The 23,856-nt window shown below is 43.3% G+C and overlaps 1 protein-coding gene across 1 annotated transcript in view, besides 2 other annotated features; it reads right to left on the bottom strand.

The window, feature by feature from the left end:
• Positions 6,170-6,464: a silencer, noted in NCBI's record as "tiled region #15514; HepG2 Repressive non-DNase unmatched - State 15:Elon". NCBI's record gives its function as "represses a minimal TATA promoter and a strong SV40 promoter by Sharpr-MPRA in HepG2 cells {active_cell/tissue: HepG2}" and the evidence as "EXISTENCE:reporter gene assay evidence [ECO:0000049][PMID:27701403]".
• Positions 6,464-6,603: an enhancer, noted in NCBI's record as "active region_16175". NCBI's record gives its function as "activates an Ori minimal core promoter by ATAC-STARR-seq in GM12878 lymphoblastoid cells {active_cell/tissue: GM12878}" and the evidence as "EXISTENCE:reporter gene assay evidence [ECO:0000049][PMID:35858748]".
• Positions 10,047-23,856, bottom strand: part of RPIA (ribose 5-phosphate isomerase A) — a 59,257-nt gene continuing 45,447 nt past the window's right edge. The window contains exons 8-9 of the mRNA NM_144563.3: positions 22,900-22,999; positions 10,047-10,995 (exon numbers count right to left, since the gene is read on the bottom strand). Of these exons, the coding sequence (NP_653164.2) occupies positions 10,898-10,995; positions 22,900-22,999 (198 nt within the window). The 3' untranslated portion in view covers positions 10,047-10,897. The remainder of the gene's footprint in view (positions 10,996-22,899; positions 23,000-23,856) is intronic.

Genomic DNA, 23,856 nt, shown 5'->3' with positions numbered 1-23,856 from the left:
ACTCTGGGCAAAATAAAAAGCAACTACCTGAAGGCACTGCAGAGCATTCAGAAGTGGGCAGACACTGTAGAGGAGCCTCAAGCCTTTAGTCCACTGCTTTATTTTTTTTTCTCTTTGTTTTCTCTCTTTTTTGTTCCTCTGTTTTCTTTTTCCCATCTTCCTGTATTAGTTTGTTTTCATGCTGCTGATAAAGACATACTCGAGACAGGGCAATTTACAAAAGAAAGGTTTATTGGACTTACAGTTCCACATGGCTGGGGAGGCCTCACAATCATGGCAGAAGGGGAAAGGCACATCTCACATGGCAGCAGACAAGAGAACAGAGCTTGTACAGGGAAAACTCCCACTTTTAAAACCATCAGATCTCGTGAAATGCATTCACTATCACAAGAACAGTGCAGGAAAGATCTGCCCCCATAATTCAATCACCTTCCACTGGGTTCCTCCCATGACATGTGAGAATTGTGGTAGTTACAATTCAAGATGAGATTTGGGTGGGGACAGAGCCAAACCATATCATTCTACCCCTGGTACCTCCCAAATCTCATGTCCTCACATTTCAAAACCAATCATGCCTTCCCAACAGTCCCCCAAAGTCTTAACTCATTTCAGCATTAACTCAAAGTCCACAGTCCCAACATCTCATCTAAGACAAGGCAAGTCCCTTCCACCTATGAGCCTGTAAAATCAAAAGCAAGTTAGTTACTTCCTAGATACAATGAGGGTACAGGCATTGGGTAAATGCAGCCGTTCCAAATGGGAGAAACTGGCCAAAACAAAGGGGCTACAGGCTCCATGCAAGTCCAGAATCCAGCCAGATAGTCAAATCTTAAAGCTCCAAAATGATGTCCTTTGACTCCATGTCTCACATCCAGGTCACACTGATGTAAGAGGTGGGTTCCCATGGTCTTGGACAACTCAGCCCCTGTGGCTTTGCAGGGTATAGCCCCCATCCTGGCTGCTTTCGCAGGCTGATGTTAAGTGTCTGCAGCTTTTCCAGGAGCATGGTGCAAGCTGTCTGTGGAGCTACTGTTCTGGGGTCTGGAGGACGGTGGCCCTCTTCTCATAGCTCCACTAGGCAGTGCCCCAGTAGGGACTCTGTGTGAGGGCTCCAACCCCACATTTCCCTTTCGCACTGCCTTAGCAGAGGTTCTCCATGAGAGCCCCACCCATGCAGCAAATTTATGCCTGGACATCCAGACATTTCATACATCCTCTGAAATCAAGGCAGAGGTTCCTAAACCTCAACTCTTGATTTTTGTGCACCCACAGGCTCAACACCATGTGGAAGCTGCCAAGGCTTGGGGTTTGCACCCTCTGAAGCCACGGCCCAAGCGGTATCTTGGCCCCTTTTAGTCACAGCTGGAGTGGTTGGTATGCAGGGCACCAAGTCCCTAGACTGCACACAGCATGGGGAACCTGGGCCTGGCCCATGAAACCATTTTTTTCATCCCAGGCCTCCCGGCCTGTGATGGGAGGGGCTGCCGTGAAGACCTCTGACATTTTTCCCATTGTCTTGGGGATTAACATTTGGTTCCTCATTACGTATGCAAATTTCTGCAGCCAGCTTGAATTTCTTCTCAGAAAATGTGATTTTCTTTCCTATCGCATTGTTAGGCTGCAAACTTTCCAAAGCTTTATATTCTGCTTCCCTTATAAAACTAAATGCCTTTAACAGCACCCAAGTCACCTCTTGAATGCTTTGCTGCTTAGAAATTTCTTCCAGCAGAAACCCTAAAACATCTCTCTCAAGTTCAAAGTTCCAAAATATCTAAGGCAGGGGCAAAATGCCACCAGTCTCTTTGCTAAAACATAACAAGAGTCACCTTTGCTCCAGTTCCCAACAAGTTCCTCATCTCCATCTGAGACTACCTTAGCCTAGGCCTTATTGTTCATATCACTATCAGCATTTTTGTCAAAAAGCCATTCATCAAGCCTCTAGGAGTTTCCAAACTTTCCCACATTTTCCTGTCTTCTTCTGAGCCCTCCAAACTGTTCCAATCTCTGCCTGTTACCCAGTTCCAAAGTTGCTTCCATATTTTTGGGTATCTTTTCAGCAACACCCTACTCCTGGTACCAATTTACTGTATTAGTTCATTCTCACGTGCTGATAAAGACATACCTGAGACTGGGCAATTTACAAAAGAGGTTTATCGGACTTACAGTTCCATGTGGCTGGGGAGGTCTCACAATCATGGCAGAAGGTGAAAGGCATGTCTCAAATGGCAGCAGACAAGAGAAGAGATCTTGTGCAGGGAAAACTCCCATTTTTAAAACTATCAGATCTCATGAGACTCATTCACTATCAAGAGAACAGTGCAGGAAAGACCTGCCCCCATAATTCAATCACCTCTGACCAGGTTCCTCCCATGACATATGAGAATTGTGGTAGTTACAATTCAAGATGAGATTTGGGTGGGGACACAGCCAAACCATATCACTTTCTGTGTGTCACTTGAGCATTTTTTTTTCTTTTTTTTTTTTGAGACTGAGTTTTGCTCTTGTCACCTGGGCTGGAGTGCAATGGCACAATCTCAGCTCACTGCAACCTCTGCCTCCTGCATTCAAGCAGTTCTCCTGCTTCATCCTCTCAAGTAGCTGTGATTACAGGTGCCTGCCACCACACCCAGCTAATTTTTTGTATTTTTAGTAGAGATGGGGTGTCACCATGTTAGCCAAGCCTCCATCAGTTCCCCCAGCCCTGGGACTGGCAAACTGTGAGTGAGACTCATTCATGGACTGTGACTCCATTTAGCAGATTATCAACCAGCATTAAGAACTGAAGCCATAATGGCTCACACCTGTAATCCCAGCACTTTGGATGGGAGGATTGCTTGAGGCTAGGCATTTAAGGCCAACCTAGGCAATAAAGTGAGATCCTATCTCTAGAAAACATTTCAAAAAATTAAATCCCAAGTATTCATTCAAGCTGAGCACCTACTCTCTCTCTGCCAAGCATTGGCGATACAAAAATAAACAAGACAGACATGGCCCCTGCCTATGGAGCCTGATGCGTAATGAGGGCGGTGGAGAACAGCCAAGGAAATCTGTAAAGGTGCCATGCCTGTCATGGTCCAGTAAGAAACAGAAACCATGATAGGTGCTTCATATGGAGGGCATTCAATACAAGGACTTGTTGACACAGTTGTTGGAAGGCTGGATGAACAGAAAGGGGCCACTGAACAATCCAGAGAATAATAAGAACTCACAGCAGCTGCCACCCACCCCCAGAATCAGGGACAGAGGGGCAGCGATGCTGATGCTCAAACATATAGATGAAGCTGTCCCTGCCTTGCCAGCGCTCAGACCAGTGTGGGGGTGCTGGGAGACAGTGGTCACCCTAAAGAAAGGGCACTGGGACCCTCATTTCCAGCTGCTGCTGCTGATTCTGGAAAGACAATGGCAAGGCCTGGAAAAGGCAGCAGGAAGCCCCCACTTCTCTCCTAACATCCCAGCCTCCCTCCAAGTCTTCCCCTGCCAGAACCTAGCAAGCACCCAGCCGCCAAGGGAGCCCACACCACATAGCAGAGAGATGCTGGGAACCACCTGGCCTGGCCCTGCATCCCTGGCCACTCCGGCCCCTGTCTGAACTTCCAGCCCTGGTCTTTCCCTGGCCGTCCAGCAGGACCATGAGCAGCCGTCCCTGAACCAGTGGCCTCTCTCAACTCGGCCAAGACAAACAACCAAGCACACTTTCAGAAGGCCAGCCCACCCAGAGGGGTCCACAGACTTGACGGCTGCCCTGAAGGAGCCACCGGCTGCTGACATGGAGCCTAACAGAGAGGCCCTGGGCAGTCTGACCCACTGGACCCAGGGCGAGCCCCAGATAAGGAGCCTTGCCAGTAGAAGTGCTGGCTGTCTCTGCCATTCCCAGGAGCTGTCTCCCTGGAGAACTTTCCCCTGGGCAGGGCAGATGTGTGGGAGTCAGGAGAGGCTCCTAGAGCGTTGTCCAGATTGGCAACACTCAGGGCAAAGGGCCCTAGTGCGGAGGAGCTCAAGGACCCTGGCCTTTGCCCCCTCATCTCTTTCCAGCCCCTCCCCTGCCTCATCCATCCCTGCCAGCCAGCCCCTAGCCTCGGGCCCCCTTTGCCTCCTGAAGAGACCAGCCTGTCCCTCAGTCACCACCTAGTCAGGCTCCCCCATCTCAGCCAGAATGGATGGCTGCTCAGGCCCCACACAGGGCCCACCTCATTGGACAGGACCAGCCCTTGTACCACGTTCCACAGCACTAGCTCCCTGTGGCACCACTTCCTGTCCCCTGGCCACAAACTGTCCCTAGAAGATACCAGCGGGGGCCCAGAATACAGCCTCAGTGGGATCCCCATCCAGAGGGGCCAAATATCATGGGTCTGGGACTCCAGTCTTCAGACCTCTTTCAAAGAAGGCTGGATTCTTTGAGCTTTGCTTTTTCACCTCGGCACTATTCACAGATCCCCCCACCAGCCTCCCCCCAACACTGCCCATCTGGACTCTCTCTCTGCCCCAGTGATATTGGGGGAGGTACGGAGGGGCATGTGTATTAATTTGAGCACCATCCTCTCTGACAGCACATATTTTAGTAGTGTGTCCTATGTACCAGGGCAGTGGGGCATCTCAGGATGACAAGGGGTGCCAGTGGGGTCAGGGAGGAGGCAGGGTGGTGGGAAAAGCCTTCCCGGGGAATCCTGAGGGAAGGTTGCTCCCTACCCTACTGGGAGAATTTCTGGGGCCTGGGAGGTGATGGAGCAGGAAATAGGTGAGGATGAAACAAATACACGTCTGTCACCATTTGGTTCAGGCTCCTGGCAGGAATGCTGGTCTGTGGCTGGGCCACAGTGAAAGGCCCAGAAGGCAGCAGGCGGTGCCACCTTCATGGGCATCTGTCCCAGGAAGCTGAGGCTGTGAGCAGCTAGTGAGTGGTGTGTCCAGCAGCCCTCTCCTCCTTTCTCAAGTGAGTCAGTGACATGTACCAAGCACTTGCTTTATGCCAGGCTCCGTGCTTTACTCCAGGGACAGAGACCTCAGGGCACAGTCCTGCCTGCAGGAACTCAGAGTTCCAACAGGAGGCAGGGAAGAGACAAAAAGAGACAATGAAAGTGGAGAGTGACCCTAAGGGAGGTATGCTGGGGGCTTGGTAGTCAAGGGTGGCTTCCTAGAGGAGGTGACATGGTCTGGTCCCTGCCTTTCAGGGTCTGGTCATAGATAGACTGGTGGTCAGTTGGGGACAGCAAAGCAGGCAATCCATCAACCAGGACTAAGTGACTTGGTGCCTAATGAAGGGCTCATCTGCTGGAAGCACAGATGAAGGTTTCAGTTCAAACTGAGGGTACTGAGTGGACCTCCCTGGGGTAGCTTTCCACTAGACTCAACTCTCTGTGGGTTCTAGAAACATCTTAAAGCTATAGAACTCCAGACTTGCTCCAAGAAATCAGAGCCTTAAATAAGCCAGAACAGGGGCTACGCGTGTACCCCTTGAATTCTAGCTCCATGCTCTCCGATGCCGTAGCCACTCGCCATGAGTGACCATGGAGCACTTGGAAAGTGGTCAGTTCAAAATGAGATGTGCCGAAGTTAAGTACACATGGCATTTTGAAGACTTCGTACAAAGAAAAAATATGATATACTCCTTATGTGTTAAAATAGTAATATTTTAGATATTTTGTGTTAAATAAAATATTTTACTAAACTTAATTTTACCTGTTTCTCTTAACTTTTCCAGTGTGGAGACCAGAACATTTAAGATTATGTGGCTGGCATTTCTCTCAGGCAGTGCTGTTTCTATTCACACCTGTGCTGCTCTGGGTCCAGCTCCTTGTGGGCTCTTGCCTCGTGAGTGCTTCTCATGGGTTCACAAAGAAACCAGTGGCAGCATCACTGGCACAGAGGAACAGGGGCCAGATGCAGCTAAGCCCAGAGAACCAAGCCCTGGAGCCTTCAGAACTCATCGGTGACTGGAAACTGGTCTCACCCTCCACTAAGAACAGCTTCTGAAATAAATGAGGATGCACGCCATTCTCCTATTTGAAACTCAAGCTGGAAAACCCCCAAACCTGAGTACTCTCAAAATGTATTTGCTCTGCCATCAGAGAGCATTCAGAGATATTATTGCCACTGCATTGAGGCTGACAGAGATGCAACCGGCCAGGACTTCAGTTCCGAGCTGCTTCCTCTCCCACCTTGCTGCTGAGCAGATGTTTCTCAGTGATTAGACATAATAGAATGGGGCTTCAGCAATGATTTTACTCATCTGTCTACATAATGCATTGTCTACAGACACCAGGCTTTCCTTTCCAGGGAAGTCTTTTCCTTCCCTCTTTGGATTCTGCCTCCACTGCACTGGCCACGTGAACTGTCACACTTCCATTCCTCTCAAAACACCATTACAGATGTTTATTTGCTGAGGCCAACTTGGGCACATTTGAATACTAAGCTATGTTGGAGTGTTTTGCTGCCCTGCAATACAACCCGGTTACTAAAAAAGCAAAGGCATTGAACCTATGTTTAAAACCTCAGCTCATCTGATTACTGTGTTAGTGGAGAGTGAAGGCTGATGCAATCCTAAATCTGGCAGCTTCAGCTACCAGGTGCAACAGGAAGTGAGCAAAGTCAGGCATCTGAGAAGCAAGTCACAAGAAATGGTTGTCATGGCACCAGTGAAGTCTGAGGGCTGGAGTGACATCTTGGGGTATCTGGGACCTGACTCCTGCACCCCAGTGCCAGGTACACACAACTGCTCAATATCAGTTAGTCAAAGGAACTGACAAACTCAGTATCAGTTAGTCAAAGGGTGGAAGAGTTGATTATAGAATGCTCAGGCCCTCTGGATCCTAGGGGCTTCTGCAATATCTTCAGAGACAGAGATGTTGCCCCAGATGGCTGGGAGCTGGCCTGGCTCTATCAGTCAGGCCTTAGTGTTGCTACAAGCTGGCCTGGCACCGACAGCCAGGCCATGATGTTCTCATGTGAAACACAATTTCACCAGTATCAACATCAGACAAGGCCACTCCGTGACCATGATGAAGACAAAACCAAGACTATAATCGCACAGACAAAACATATTGTCCACATCACAAAAATTGCCCAACATCATTAATGAGTAACTGCCCCTTCTTTACCAATGGTAGCTTTAGGTTCACTCCATTCTTCTTACTTTCTAGGTAAGAATTGTTAAAGATATCCAGTTATAGAAGTAGCCCTGCTTCCTGAAGGTATCCAATCCAGAGCTAAGCTCTGCTTCCTTGGGCCTAAACCCTCTAAGTCCTAATGCTGAGATAACTGCAGCTTCCCATGGCGTGTGATTTCCCTTATTCAATGGGTAAATAAATCCAACTTTGTTCAACTGTGTCTGTGTTCCTGAATGGTCTTTGGCTAAAAGGAATTAACAGTCCTCAGCCATAAATGCCCCTTCACAGGCTAGCAGTGCCTCTGGTAGCCACTGTGCCTAAATCATAGGTAGAAAGGAGGAAAAAAGGAAACAGATAACGAGAGAGAGAAATCAATGGTTGTCAAGTTCCATTCCAGAGTGACAAATAAAGATGACTTCTACAAAGGGCACTTTCTTGTGGCCCACCCGAGGCTATATGCAATGTTCTCCTCCTTCCTCCTACCAAAGAAAGCGTAGCAGAAGACAGAAATGGATTATTATAGGATTAACCATGAGCCTACACACACAACCCAACCATTCACTAACTCCAGTACTTTAACAAATTACTTGTCACGCAAGTTACAACTTATGGACACAATTAAGGAACACAAACTATTCAAAGCCCTATAACCACCTTGAAGTAGGAACAAGGCCTAGAGCCAGAGAAGTCTGGTCCACTTTCCAGTGGGTGACCTGAACAAGTTACTTAAACTAAGCCTCAGTTTCTCACTCAGCAAATTATAAGAACAAACACCATAAAGATGCCATAAGCTAACAGGGCAAAAACCCAAATAGTGCCTGGCACACATTCAGGTTCAAATATGATAGCTCCCTGCTTCCCCTCCTTGCCACTTTAGGATAAAATTTGAAACTACTGAAATATAATAGTTCAATAAAAATAGTACATCAAAGCAAAGCCCAGTCCCTGAAATAAAAGGTAGCTTCTTGGAACGATTACTCCAAACTTAGCTTTTTTGTGGAACTTGCCTGTCTCCATTAGAATTTTCCCATAAAAAGTCACAACACGCCATCTCTGGCACTTCTTGAGACTAACATAAGAATATCCTCCCAGATACTACAAAACCCCCAACCTGAAGACCAGGGGTTCCAGGGCTGGCTAACTAGCCAGCTCTGTCTGTGACAAGTGACTTAGGCTATTCAGGCCTCTTTCTCCTCTGTAAACTGACAGCTTATTTAACTTTAATTAGAAGCACTTTAATGGAGTCAAAGCCAGCAAAGACTCCACATAGGAAGCTGTTGCCAGAGTCACCTGTCAGCCACTTTCCCCACCCATGACTCATCTCTTGCCCACCTGCCCACCATGTTCCTCCACTACATCATTCTTCTGTCAAGGTGCCTGTCAGGCTCACCAGGCTGGAAGCCTCTGGAGCACAGGAGGATCTTACTCATCTGTGTCCCACCCTCTCCCGAACTGGCCCATGATGGGAGCTCAAACAGTCTGATCAATGAAGAATATAAAAACTTAATGAGAGGTTGTAGCTGAAACCAAACTGAATAGATTTTATTCAAATCAGAGTGATTTTCCTCCTTTGATACCTTCCAGAATTGTGACTGCTTACCTTCGTTATAACCGTTTCCCAAAAACCAAACTTACAGCTCACCCTTGCCCCTGAGATTCATCATTAATCACATGTACTGGCATGTGGGTCACAGGAAAAAAATTGTTTTTTCCATCTAATTTATTCCATCTAACTCCCCAGAAAGATCACATTTAATGAGCTTTAATGAAGACTCTTTAGTCAAAATGTACCTTGCTGTATGTGTGCCTAAAGCATAGCAGGTGTTTTGTTTTCTTCAAGAGAAGAAAACCCTAACATCGACATTCAAAGAAACTACAGATCCATCACAGGTGCGAATGCCTGTGAAACCCACAGAACATTTACATGTGATGTGGTGCATGCAGGTGTTTTTCAGAAATTCAGCTTAACTTTGTTGTTTATCTTTATTCCTAAATTTAATCAATGCCACAAGAGCTTCAAAGGATTATGTCAAAAATTAGTTCTATCAAGATCTCAGCTAAGATGTAGTGCCCGTTTTGTGCAAAAATTATAACCCAAATTAAAAGAAAATAAAGTATTCCTAACAATAGGCTTCCTAACAATATGTGAGGCAACTATTTTTAAAGAGCACCTCCAGAGTGAAGAGGGAATTCTGAAAGAAATAAGCATCTTTAATGCCTTCTCTCCTGATTAACTTTTATTCTACAACTTGATTTAGCAAGAATTTAGATGCCAACATGTCTGATCATTATTATCCAAGCATCAAAATAGACAGTAAAATGAGGGAAATGACTGTTCCAAGTATTGTGCAAAGTTAGCAAGGGGAAATCAGAGTTCTCAGCATCAAGACCCTTTAACAGCAGGATGGATTCCTTTGAGCCTTGTCTAGAATGCTCACTGAGCTGGTCAGGCCTTTCCTTTCCCTGTTATGAGGCTCTTTTCTGGAGAGCTAACTGTTTATTAAGCAGACTGTCTGCAGATTACAGAGTTGGGGGTGCTAATGAGGAAATTCAGGTTGGGGGTGCTAATGAGGAAATGCAGCAATATGATTTGCTGCGTATCAGCTTCCATGACTAAAGAAGGTTTGACTAATATAAAACGTGGAGATAATTTGTGACTTTTGTTCATCTGTGTTACCCTTCATGCATGAAGAAAATTAATACCTTGCCTGACAAAGGGCTATGGCATATTTCCTTAGATAACTGACATATCTGGAAGATAGCTCTCCCAGAAATAATGAAAGTATTTACCTATTCTTTGGTTCAAGATTTCTTGAGTGAATTCTACCCCTTATCACAGATCTGATGTACGCTGGGTGGGCAAAACTGATTCCTCTCCCATCTTGGCTTTCCTTCTGTGGCCATTTAAATTTAAATTCTACAATAAAGACAAAAGAGTCAAAATGGCACCACACTGTTTTATTTAAACCTGCAAACAATATAAAGAGGTAAGGACTTCTGACGCCAAACCATGCAAGTAATAACAAAGGAACAGAGAAAAATATTAATAACAAAAAGAAAATCATTAAAAATAAAAAAACAAAGTACTTCACATTTCACAGCAGTGCTTTGGCAGTACTGGCAAGCATTTCTGGTCAACTGCTTCCAACAGCAGGAATATGAAGAAACCCCCAGATCTTAGCAAAAGTGTAACAACATTTTCTCCCTGACAGCTTACATTCCAAGTCATTCCATACCATACCGCTCCACTCCACAGTTTTATAAACCTGATCTTAAGATGTAACTAGGTACTATGTGTGCTCACAATAAAAACTAACTAAAAACAAATCAGAGGGTAGCAGACAAGTAAACAAAGTTTCCAGTAAGGCATCAGGAGATCACTGCTGGTGGGCCCCTCACTTTACCAGCTTAAAGAAGTTTTGATTTTTATTTCTCAGCAAACTCAATATTCAGAAGCTTTACCAGCAGACTCAAGTCAAAGGTTTTAAATACAGTTTACCTCATTTTTTTTTTTTGGTAAATATTTCATATAAAACATGAACTCAAGTTCTACTTCATTTAAAAAACTGAATATTTTAATAGTAAAAATATATGTTTATATTTCTCTTTTTAAAAAGACATTTAATAACAATACTTCATAAGACTGGATTTAACTCCCCCTCCCACTCTTCCCCCCACCCCCCACCACAAGTTGTCCAGGCAGAGATACATTAAGGCAAAGGCTCCTGGAGAGGTACGTCCACCTTGGCTGTGGGCTGGAGACTCAAGGTGAACACACTCTGCTCCTTGCAGGGTCAACAGAAAGGCTTCTCCCTCATGTTCACTGAGCCATCCTGCATCCCAAAGTAGACTCTCTCAGCCATGTTGATGAATAGGCCTGTGTCCACCACACCTGCAGGACAAAGGACAGAAAGAAACATTGTTTCAGCCTCCCAAAGCAAAAAGAGACTCAAAGACTGCAGGGTCACTAGAAGCAACTGTCATACACAGCATTGGACGAATGACAAATCTAAAGCCTTTTTCTCCCACAGAGCAATGAAAAGAGATTCTGATTATCTTAATTTCTTCTTGCCACCTCTTTCTCCCCTCCCACTTTGGCCTTCTTTCTGTACCCAAACATGCTAAGCTTTGTCCTGCCCTGAGGCCTTTGTTCATGCTGTTCCCTCTGCCTGAGCCAGTCATTGTCAAGCACTTCAAGGGGCTGGCTCAGCTCTGTCCTTCAGACATATCAGATGGCAAGTCATCCTCTAGAGACCCTCCATGACTACTCCAGCCAAGGAGCCCCACTACCAGTTATTTTCAATCATACCACCAGCCTTGAAAGATTTCCTCGGAATGGGAGGAGATATTTGCAAAGCATATACCTGACAAAGGACTCATATCAAAAATATAAACAATTTATAAATCATCAAGAAAAAGACAGAATCCCCATAGAAAAATGGGCAAAAGACTTGAAGAAGTACCTCACAAAAGAAGCTACCCAAAATGGCCAATAAACATTTTAAAAGATGCTCAAAATCATTCACTGAAAGGAAATACAAATTAATATTACAAGATATCACTACACACACACTGAAGTCAGTGTAATGAAATTCTGCTGGGATGCAAAGACACTCATACGCATTGATGGTGAAAGCTGAGCTGGCAAAAGCACTTTGGAAATGTTCATCTTCCAAGCTGATGGATTCACACCTAACCACTCAGCAATTCTACTCCTAGATATACAACTGTTAGGCATACATTTGGTCATCAAAAGACATGTGTAAGATGTTGATAGTGGCACTTTTCCTATTAGCTAAAAACTGATAATACCCAAATGTCCATCAAGAGTAGAATAGAGGCTGGGTATGGTGGCTCATGCCTATAATCCCAGCACTTTGGGAATGAAGCCCAGGAGTTCAATGGAGCTCCAGATGGAGCTGATGGAGCCCAGGAGTTCGAGACCAGCCTGGGAAACATAACATAGAGATGGCAGCTCTACAAAAAATACAAAAATTAGCCAAGCATGCTGGCACATGCCTGCAGTCCCAGCTACTCAGGAGGCTGAGGTGGGAGAATCGCCTGAGCCCAGGAGCAGAGGTTGCAGTGAGCCATGATTATGCCACTGTACTACAGCCTGGGTGACAGAGCAAGATCCTGTCTCCAAAAAAAGAAAGAAAGAGAAAAAACTAAAAGAGTAGAATAGATATAAACTTTTTTTCACACACATACAGATGATGGAATATGATTCAGCAGTGAAAATTAACAACTACACACAACCTTTACCAAGAATATTTACATATACTCACACATACTTCAATGACATAACACTTTAACTGTAAGAGAAAAGGTATAATGGACCAGGTATGCAGGGAAACAGATACCTGCACACACTGTTGGTAGAAGGCTAAGTGAATACAAGCTACAGACGGCAATCTGAAACCATCTAACAAAAATCACAGACACATTAATCCTTTCATCCAGTGATTCCCTGCTAGCAAAAATCTGCAAACATAAATGACCACTAGTGGTGATCCAGTTAAGTCATAATGTTACATAGGTAAAGTGGAATACATGCAGGTATTCAGAAAAAAAAGGAACAAGGAAGCTCTTTTATAAGCCAATGTGTAATAATCTCCAAGACAGGCAAGGCAGGAAACAGAACATGTATAAAGCAGGCTACCGCTAGTGTAAAAAGGGGTGGGGCGGGAGGAGTTGCAATTTGTGTGTTTATGAAAGTCTATCTCAAAGGCCACACAATTTTGGTAACACTGGCTGCCTCCAGATAGGGTAACTAGTTGGTTGGAAAAGTGGCAAAGAGGACTTGCCACTGTTTAACTCATAATTTTAAACTACACAAATTCAAAAGGATAAATACAATGAAAACTTGCAGGAAAATGGCAATAGAAGACAGGATTAATGTGCAGCACCCACTTGGACAGACAGAACAGTGTGTGGAGACACACATTGTGAACTTTTGCTCCAAGAACCACCACAGGAACATACCAGGAAAACCAAAAGAATTCACAGACCCTTTGAAAGAAGTGGCTTGCTGCTGCAAACTCCATAAGACAGCCAAAAAACTGTGAGTTCCCAAAGTGTGAGAGGGGGAAAAGTCTGCCTCTGAACATACATCCCCACCGGGGAACCTGAAAAATCCAGATCACAGGAGACGGATTTAATCTTACCTAGAGCTGAAATGGATTTAGAGAGCTGAGCAAACTATAAAAGTAGAAGCAGCAGCAGGAAGAGCCCTGTAGACACTTCCAGTCCCCAGCTTGAGCCCAGGGAAGCCATCCCTGGCTTTATCTCACAGGGGTCCTTCGGGAAAAAAAGGCAGCCAGCAGAACTGGGGAGGGGCCACAGGATGAAGGAAGCTTCTAGCTGAACTTCGTAATAATTTCAACTGAGCACAAATTTTCCTGAGCAGAATCCGGTGGGGGACAAATGGGAAGTGCAGATACAAATGAAGAACCCACAGCCGAAGGTGCAGGCAGGCAGGGAGGGGCGAGGCCTGAGAGGCCTGCTTGCTTTCTCAGTAGGGAGGCCTGTAGTCTGGGGCAAGATCTCAGCCCTGCTCACCATGGTGGGGCATGGCGGGAGTGAAACTGGCCTTGCTGGCTGTGTGGCAGCTGGGTGGGGGTCTGTCACTGCCGGCTTTCTCCTACTTCCCTGGCAGCCTGTATGACGCAGAAGAGGCAGCCATAATCCCCCTGGGAACATAACTCCATTGACCTGAGAACCACTCCCCAACCCCACACAGTGGCCACAGCAAGCCCTGCCCAAGGAAAGTCTGACTCAGACCCACCTAACTCTGCCCTAACCTGATGGTTTTTCTCTACCTGCCCTGGTAGCCAAAGACAAAAGACATAAACTCTTGGGAGCTCTATGGCCCTGCCCATTACCTAAGAAACCAAAATACTTATCCTGGCCTACATAGACAAGCTTGTATCCCCCCTATACTACTACAGCTGATGCTTTCTTGAAAGCACCACCTCCTCGCTGAAGGCCAACCAACTCAAGCCACTACAGAAACTCGTAACAGAACAACCCTGCTCCAAAAAGGGAAAAACAACAGCTAATTCCACCGCCTGCAACATCCTGGCTAACCAGAGATCCTGAGTCTGTCCACATGGCAACTTCACTGCTAGCATAAACCAGCATTCAAGAAAACCAGTGCACTAAACAAAAATACAACCAGGGACTCCCACAGAGTCCACTTCACTCTCCTGCCACCTCCACCGAAGCAGGTGCTGGTATCCACAGCTCGGGGACCTAAAGACAGATCACATCACAGGACTTTCTGCAGACATTCCCCAATACCAGCCTGGAGCCCAGTAGCCGCACTGGGTGGCTAACCCCAGAAGGGCATAACCACTGCAGTCCAGCTCTCAAGAATCCTCATCCTTAGGGGAAGGCGAAGAACACCCCATCAAGGGATCACCCCATTGGACAAAAGAATCTGAACAGCAGCCCTTGGGTTCCAGATCTTTCCAATGAAACAGTCTACTCAAATGAGAAGGAACTAGAAAACAAATTCTGGTAATACGACAAAACGAGGTTCTACAGCACCTCCCAAAGATCACACTAGCTCTCCAGTAACGGAGCCAAACCAAGAAGAAATCTCTGAATTGCCAGATAAAGAATTCAGAAGGTTGATTATTAAGCTACTCAAGGAGGTACCAGAGAAAGGTGAAAACCAACTTAAAGAAAATTTAAAAGGACTCCAGAGAAACAGATATCATAAAGAAAAGATAATCAAACTTCTGGAAATGAAAGACACATTTTAGAAATGCAAAATACACTGGGAAATTTCAACAACAGATTAGAACGAGTAGAAAAAAAGAACTTCAGAGCTCGAAGACAAGGCTTTCAAATTAACCTAATCCAAGAAAGACAAAGAAAAAAAGAATCAAAAAAATGAACAAAGCCTCCAAGAAATTTGGGATTATGTTAAACAATCAAACATAAGAATAACTGATGTTCCTGAGGAAGGAGAGGAGAGAAATCAAAAAGTTTGGAAAGCTTACTTGAGGGAATAATTGAGGAAAACTTTCCTGGTATTGCTGGAAATCTAGACATCCAAATAAAAATGCTTGAAGAACACTCAGGAAATTCATTGCAAAAAGATCACCACCTAGGCATATAGTCATCAGGTCATCTAAAGTAAGACAAAGGAAAGAATCTTGAAAGCTGCCAGGCAAAAGCATTAGGTAACCTATAAAAGAAAGCCTATCAAATTAACAGCAGATTTCTCAGCAGAAGCCCTACAAGCCAGAAGGGATTGGGGTCTTATCTTTAGCCTCCTTAAACAAATTAATTATCAGCCAAGAATTTTGTATCCAGCAAAACTAAGCTTCATAAATAAGGAAGAGATACAGTCATTTTCAGACAAACAAATGCTGAGAGAATTCGCCACTACCAAGCCAGTCCTACAAGAAATGCTAAAATGAGTTCTAAATCTTGATACAAAACTCACAATACACCTAAATAGAACCTCCTTAAAGCATAAATTTCACAGGACCTATGAAACAATATCACAGTGCAAAAAAACAAGGTATCCAGGAGACAACTACCATGATGAATAAAATAATACCTCATATCTCAATATTAACGCTGAATGTAAACTGCCTAAATGCTCTACTTAAAAGGTACACAATGGGCCAGGCTTGGTGGGCGGCCAAGGCAGGCAGATCACCTGAGGTCAGGAGTTTGAGACCAGCCTGGCCAATATGGTGAAACCCCGTCTCTACTAAAACCACAAAAAAATTAGCCAGTCATGGTGGCGGGCACCTGTAATCCCAGCTACTCAGGAGGGTGAGGCAGGAGAATTGCCTGAACCTGAGAGGTGAAGGTTGCAGTGAGCCAAGAACATGCCATTGCACTCCAGCCTGGGCAACAAGAGTGAAACTCTGTCTCAAAAAAATAAAAAGATACACAATGGCAGAATGCATAAAAATCCACCAACCATGTATCTGTTGTCTTCAAGAGACTCACCTAACACATAAGGATTCACATAAACTTACTGTAAAGGGGTGGGAAAAGATACTCCACACAAACAGAAACCAAAAGCAAGCAGGAGTAGCTATTCTTCTATGAGACAAAATAGACTTTAAAGCAACAAGTTAGAAAAGACAAAGAGGAACATTATATAATGATACAAGGATTAGTCCAACAGGAAAATATCACAATTCTAAATATATATGCACCTAATACTAAAGCTCGCAAATTTATAAAACTGTTACTACTAGACCTAAGAAATGAGATAGATGGCAATACAATAATAGTGGGAGACTTAAGTACTCCACTGACAGCACTAGACAGGTCATCAAGACAGAAAGTCAACAAAGAAACAATGAAATTAAACTATACTCTGGAGCAAATGGACTTAACAGATATCTATAGAACTTTCCGCCTAAGAAGTACAGAATATATATTCTTTTCTTCAGCCTGGAACATTCTCCAACATGACAGGCTACAAAACAAGTCTCAATAAATTTTAAAAAATCTAAATTATATCAAGTACTCTCACAGATCACAGTGGAATAAAATTGGAAATCAACTCCAAAAGGAACCCTCAAAACTATACAAATACATGGAAATTAAATAATCTGCTCCTGAATGATCTCTGGGTCAACAATGAAATCAAGATGGAAATTTAAAAATTATTTGAACTGAATAATAATAGTGATACAACCTATCAAAACCTCTGGGATACAGCAAAAGCAGTGCTAAGAGGAAAGCTCATAGCCTTAAATGCCTAAACCAAAAACTCTGAAAGAGTACAGATAATCTGAGGTTACACTTCAAGGAACTAGAGAAACAAGAACAAACCACACTCAAACCCAACAGAAGAAAAGAAATAACTAAGATAAGAGCAGAACTAAATGAAATTGAAACAAAAAATACAAAAAAGATAAATGAAACAAAAACCTGGTTCTTTGAAAAGATAAAATCGATAGACCATTAGTGAGATTAACCAAGAAAAGAAGAGAGAAGATCCAAATAAGCTCAATTACAAATGAAATGGGAGATACTGCAACCAATACCACAGAAATACAAAAGATCATTCAAGGCTACTATGAACACCTGTATGTGCATGAACTAGAAAATCTGGAAATATACAAGCCTCTTAGATTAAAGCAGGAAGAAACAGAAACTATGAACAAATCAATAACAAGCAGCGACACTGAAACAGTAATTAAAAAAACTGCCAACAAAAAAAGTCCAGAACCAAATGGATTCACAGCTGAATTCTATCAGACATTCAAAGAATTGGTAGCAATCCTACTGAAACTATTCCAAAAGATGGGAAAAAAAGGGAATCCTCTCTAAATCATTCTATGAAGCCAGTATTACCCTAATACCAAAACCAGGAAAGATCATAACAAAAAAAGAAAACTACAGACCAATATCCCTGATGAACATAAATGCAAAAATACTCAACAAAATACTAGCTAGCCAAATCCAACAGCATATCAAAAAGATAATACACCATGATCGAGTGCGTTTCATACCAGGGATGCAGGGATGGTTTAACATATGCAAGTCAACAAATGTGACACACCACATAAACAATCTAAAACAAAAATCATACGATCATCTCAATAGATGCAGAAAAAGCATCTATCAAAATCCAGCATTGCTTTATTATTAAAACCCTCAGCAAAATCAACATAGAAGGGACATACCTAAAGGTAATAAAAGCCACCTATGACAAACCTACAGCCAGTATTATACTGAAAGGGGAAAAGTTGAAAGCATTCCCCCTGAGAACTGGAACAAGACAAGGATACCCCGTTTCACATACCCAGTATCCAACATACTATTGAAGCCCTAGCCAGAGCAATCAGACAAGACAAAGGGCATCCAAATCAGTAAAGAGGAAGTCAAACGGTTGCTGTTCACTAATAATATGATCATATACCTAGAAAACCCTCAGGACTCATCCAAAAAGCTCTTAGATCTGATAAATGAATTCCGTAAAGTTTCAGGATACAAAAATCAATGTGCACAAATCAGTGGCACTGCTATACACCAACAGCAACCATGTAGAGAATCAAATCAAGAACTCAACCCCTTTTATGACAACTGCAAAAAAAATAAAATACTTAGGAGTATACCCAACCAAGGAGGTGAAAGATCTCTACAAGGAAAACTACAAAATACTGCTGAAAAAAACCACAGACAACACAAATGGGACACATCCCATGCTCATGGATGGGTAGAATCAGTATTGTGAAAATGACCATATACTGCCAAACGCATTCTACAAATGCAATGCCATTCCCATCGAAATACCGCCATCATTCTTCACAGAACTAGAAAAAAAATCCTAAAATTCATATGGAAAAGCAAAGAGCCCACATAGCCAAAGCAAGACTAAGCAAAAAGAACAAATCTGGCAGCAGTACATTACCTGACTTCAAACTACACTATAAGGTCATGGTCACCAAACAGCATGGTACTGGTATAAAAACAGGCATATAGACCAATGGAATAGAATAGAGAAGCCAGAAATAAAGCCAAATACTTACAGCCAACTGATCTTCAACAAAGCAAACAAAAATATCAAGGGGGAAAGGACACCCTATTCAACAAATGGTGCTGGGATAACTGACAAGCCACATATAGAAGAATGAAACTGGATTCTCATCTCTTATACAAAAAATCAAATCAAGATGGATCAAAGACTTAAATTGAAGACTTGAAACTATAAAAACTCTAGAGGACAACACTGAAAAATCCCTTCTAGACACTGGCTTAGGCAAAGATTTCATGACGAAGAACCCAAAAGCAAATGGAACAAAAACAAAGATAAGTAGGTGGAACTTAATTAAAATAGAGAGCTTCTGCACAACAAAAGGAACAGTCAGCAGAGTAAACAGTCAACCCACAGAGTGGGAGAAAATCTCCACAATCTATACAACTGAAAAAGGACTAATATCTAGAATATATAAGGAACTCAAATTAGCAAGAAAAAAAATCCCATCAAAAAGTGGGCCAAGGACATGAATAGACAATTCTCAAAAGAAGATATACAAATGGCCAACAAACATATGAAAAAATGCTCAACATCACTAATGATCAGGGAAATGCAAATCAAAACCACAATGCAATACCACCTTACTCCCGCAAGAATAAAAAAATAATAGATGTTGGCATGGATGCAGTGAAAAGGGAATACTTTCACACTGCTGGTGGGAATGTAAACTAGTACAACCACTGTGGAAAACAGTGTGAAGATTCCTTAAAAAACTCAAAAGTAGAACTACCATTTATTTGATCCAGCAAAACCACTACTGGGTATCTACCCAGAGGAAAAGAAGTCATTATATGAAAAGGACATTTGTACACACATGTTGATAGCAAAACAACTTGCAATTTCAACAATATGGAACCAGCCTAAATGCCTATCAACCAATGAGTGGATAAAGAAAATGTGATATATATACACATACACACACACACCATGGAATACTACTCAGCCATAAAAAGGAATGAAATAATGGCATTCACAGCAACCTGGATGGAGTTGGAGACCATAATTCTAAGTGAAGTAACTCAGAGATGGAAACCCAAACATCGTATGTTCTCACTTATAACTGGGAGCTAAGCTATGAGGACGCAAAGGTGTAAGAATGATACAACAGACTCTGGGGACTCAGGGGAAAGGGTGAGAGTGGGACAAGGGAGAAAAGACTATGCATTGGGTACAGTGTACGCTGCTTGGGTAATGGGTGCAACAAAATCTCAGAAATCACCACTCAAGAACTTATCCATGTAGCCAAACATCACCTGTTTCCCAACAACTATTGAAATAATTTTAAAAATTAAAAAAAAACTCCCAAAGACAGCTCCCAATAAACAAATGAAACGGAGTAGTGATCGAGTGACGAAAAGCCAACAGGCAGAGCAAAGAGTTGCTGAACACAAATAAAGGTCCCTGGCACCAAACTGTGCCTATGCAACTGGATCCTTCCAAAGATGAGCAAAGTAGCCACTCAAGACCCGTTTTCAAAATGTCTGCAATATAAGGAGAAAGCATCCACTGATCCAAAAAACAGTTAAATCAGGTTCAGAAAAGGCTTTAAAGAAAGAGCAGAGATGAATGGGCAGCAGTCTAAGGTAAGACTTTAGAGCAACTTCTCTTTCAATTACTGAGATGCTGGGTGTGACTGACCTCCCCCAACTCCCCGATAAAATATAGTGGAAAGAGCAGAGGATGCTAAATGTGAACCTAGGGGAAAGAACTCCAGTAGCCCTGGCCCTTCAATTCAGTCACTCTGCTCTGGGTGGAACACAACAAAACATCAAAGGGAGTTGTTTTCTAAGCGTCCTCACATACTGTGTACGAATGCACATGGTAACAGAGATAAACAGGGAAACTCGCCCTACTTCTATTCTCCTGATACTGGTCCAGCCGTGAATCTAATGGACTCAATCAGGAAAAGAAAAAATGAGAAAAGATACAGCAAACCACTCTGATTGTCCTGTAGATATCACATTATATGATTTAATAGCTAGCCTCTTTTATCATTTTCCTCACTTTAAGTTCCTAACAAAACTCTGAACGTCTTTAGGACGCAGCTTCTACATACTTTTTTTTGAAGAATCACATATGAGGGAAATTTCCTTACAAAGGACATTTCAGAACCTTAAGCAGCCAAGGTCTAACCAGGAGCAAGAGTGACACCTAGTGGGCACTGCAAGAACTCCACCTATACGGCAGCCACATTGGTGAGCCCTTTCCTCCTGGGGCCCTGGGTTTGTTTGCATTATCACCAAGGGCAAGTTCTCCCATTTTACTAACAGTGATTTGCAAATCTTCTCTTCCTCCTACCTTCTTGGCTGTTTAGTTCTTCCACTAAAGAGGGAACACTAACCAAGAAAATGAGTATAAGCCAACTCATGTTTTTGACTTAACGTGGTAAAAGACTATCAATAACAAACTAAACTAAAATAACAAACTAAAGTAGAATTGGGGCCAGGCACAGCGGTTCACACCTGTGATCCTGGCACTTTGGGAGGCCAAGGGAGACTTTGAGCCCAGTTCAAGACCAGCCTGGACAACATCGTGAAACCCCGTTTCTATAAAAAATTCAAAACTTAGCCGGTCCTGGTGGTGTGTGTCTGCAGTCCCATCTACTGGGGACGCTGAAATGGGAGAACTGTTTAAGCCCAGGAGGTCAATGCTGCAGTAAACCATGATCACACCACTACACTCCACTCTGGGTGACAGAGCGAGACCCTATCTCAAAAAATTAATAAATAAAGTAGAACTGGAAGAACTAGCTTTTCATTACACAGCTTATATTCACACTATTTTAAATCCCAACTAGCACAGGTGTATCTTAGAATCTTAGTATATTTAATTAAAAATAACAATAGTACCTTTCTTTCAAGGGATTTATTCATTCAACAAACACTTTCCCTTCTGCAATGGGCACGGTTTTAACTCATTTAATCCACCCAACAACCTTATAAGGTAGGCACTAGAATTAACTAGCCCCTTCTACATAGGAAGAAACTCGGGCACAGAGATGTTAACTAACTGCTAAAAGGTAACACGCCAGAGCACAGCTGGGTTAGGATCCTTATCCAGAATAGTCTGCTCCATTAAACTGGCCTGAAAGGTCCTGTCAGCCAGTTCTGGCCCAAGAATACTCCATGATAGGGAATATTCCGTTAGCCTCTTAGTCTCGCAATATCCTAAGAAGCTGATACCTCTCAAGACTGCCTCCTCCTTTTAATCCCCCTGTACGAGCCCTTGATACCTCCTCTAGCCTGGACCAGGACTCCAGCCTCAACCAGGACTCCAGCCTCATAACTCATCTCTACACTGCCCACCCATCCTTCACGCAGGGCCATCCTGGCTCTTATTCCATCATTCCCTGGCACAGCTGCATTAGAAGCTCCCCAAGGCTCTAAATGTTCATTTCACACAGCCTCTCCTCGCCTGGTGCTTCAGCAAGTAAGCATTAAACATTCAGGGTCTAGTGGCAGACAACTTAGGGTGCCCATCTTGGTGCTGTCTTTGGGCAAATGGCTTAACCTTTCTCAGCCAGTGCCCTCCTCTGTAACTACCTCATCAAAGTGGGAATCAAAGGAAATATTTTTAGACGTTTAGCACCGTGTTTAACTTATGTTATGCCAAGGCATGGATGAAAAACCACCTCTACACCATAGAACATCCTCACATTCTCCCAAAAAGAAACTTTTTGTGCACTCTAGACTCTTGGTATTCCTCTAGTAGAATTGAGCACATTCTATCTTATTTGTAGGCATGGCTTCTACACACACACACAGATTTCCCCAGGTTTACATCAATTCTCCTTGAGGACAGATTACAAGTCCTCCAGATCGAAGTATCCCCTGTAACACACAGCACAACATCTTGCCTTTGGCATGCATCCAATGAATGTGGATTAACTGAGTCATTTTCCCCGCTACTTAAGAAGAGAACCCACAAAAAAAGGCTGTAGTCCAGCTCCTGGAAGGAAAGGTTCTACCCAGAGACGATGGCCTTATTTCAAGGCAAGTCCCCTCTGAACTTCCATCAGCTTCAGGACTATCTTAACTCAAACAGGCTGTGAAATGCACAAGCAACAAAGCTGCTAGGTAAGCAACAATTGTTGGGGGAAGGGAATACGGCAAAGGAGGTGAAGTTAAAAACCCAAACATGGTATAAAGGGAATTCTTCTTTCCAACCAAGCCTTACAAAGCCCATGTCCATTGTGCCTTCTGTGGCCAGATGTAGGGGCCAGTTATGAAGGCCATGGGTGTGTATATGACTGGTGAACACCACTCATGTTACCTGGGATCATTTTGATAGCTGTATTCACTTCACTCCATTTGTGTACCCGGTCAAACTTCCAGTCCAAGATAAAATTCCCATTATCTGTCACCACAGGACCCTAGAAGATAATTTTCCACAGTGACCAAGGATGCAGATACAGGTAGGCAGAGAAGGACAGGAAAGTAGAGGGGATAACCAAAGACAAGTATGCATTTTAACCTGCTCCCACCTTATGCTTTCTAGGTGTGCTGTGAAGTGGTAATAAGCAGGAGCTTTGAAATCAGAAAGACTTAGATTGTAGTCTTTTTTTTTTTTTGAGAGAGAGAGAGAGGATACAAGCCTCTTAACAAATGTATCAAGCTATTTTTACTCACATGAGCTCCCACTATGACTATGTGACCATGTCACAATTATCACCACATTCCTATCTGATTTCTGGTTCATTGTTCTTACTTCCTTTAGTCCAAAATTCATTGTTCTTATCTGCTTCCTTAAGTTACTACTTGGCTAATAAGAAAAAGGGCAAGAAACAGAATCCAAAACACAATAAGAACACTAGCAGCAATGTGGCTTTCAAATAAGAACTCTGACAGGGTCAAGGTTGAACGACTTCTCCATTTTGTGCTACATTTCTTTCATGTGCCGACAATCTGAACGTCAGTCAGAGCACTGTACAACCACTAGGAACAGAACTACGGTTTTTTTTTAAAAGTCACAGAAACAGTGGGGACAAAATATATCAAAATAAAAATGTATCAGGGTAGGGTGACAGATCTTTTCGATATCCTCCAAAATGTTTACGTAGTTACATATGTAACTGTGGTTAGCTTCTGGATTGCTGTCTTTGCTTATTTGTTTACTTAAGTATAAAAAGAGGGAAAAGTTATGCGCAATCCACTTTAGAAGCTAAAGAGAAACACGAAAAATTTGGACCATCTGGAGAGTATTCCTTGGGAAGAGTTCACACACCCCAAG

The sequence above is a fragment of the Homo sapiens genome, chromosome 2 (assembly GCF_000001405.40).
Source record: "Homo sapiens chromosome 2, GRCh38.p14 Primary Assembly".
Taxonomy (NCBI): Eukaryota; Metazoa; Chordata; class Mammalia; order Primates; family Hominidae; genus Homo; species Homo sapiens.
The sequence above is the reverse complement of the archived record's forward strand: the minus strand, read 5'-3'. Positions and strand labels throughout refer to the sequence as shown.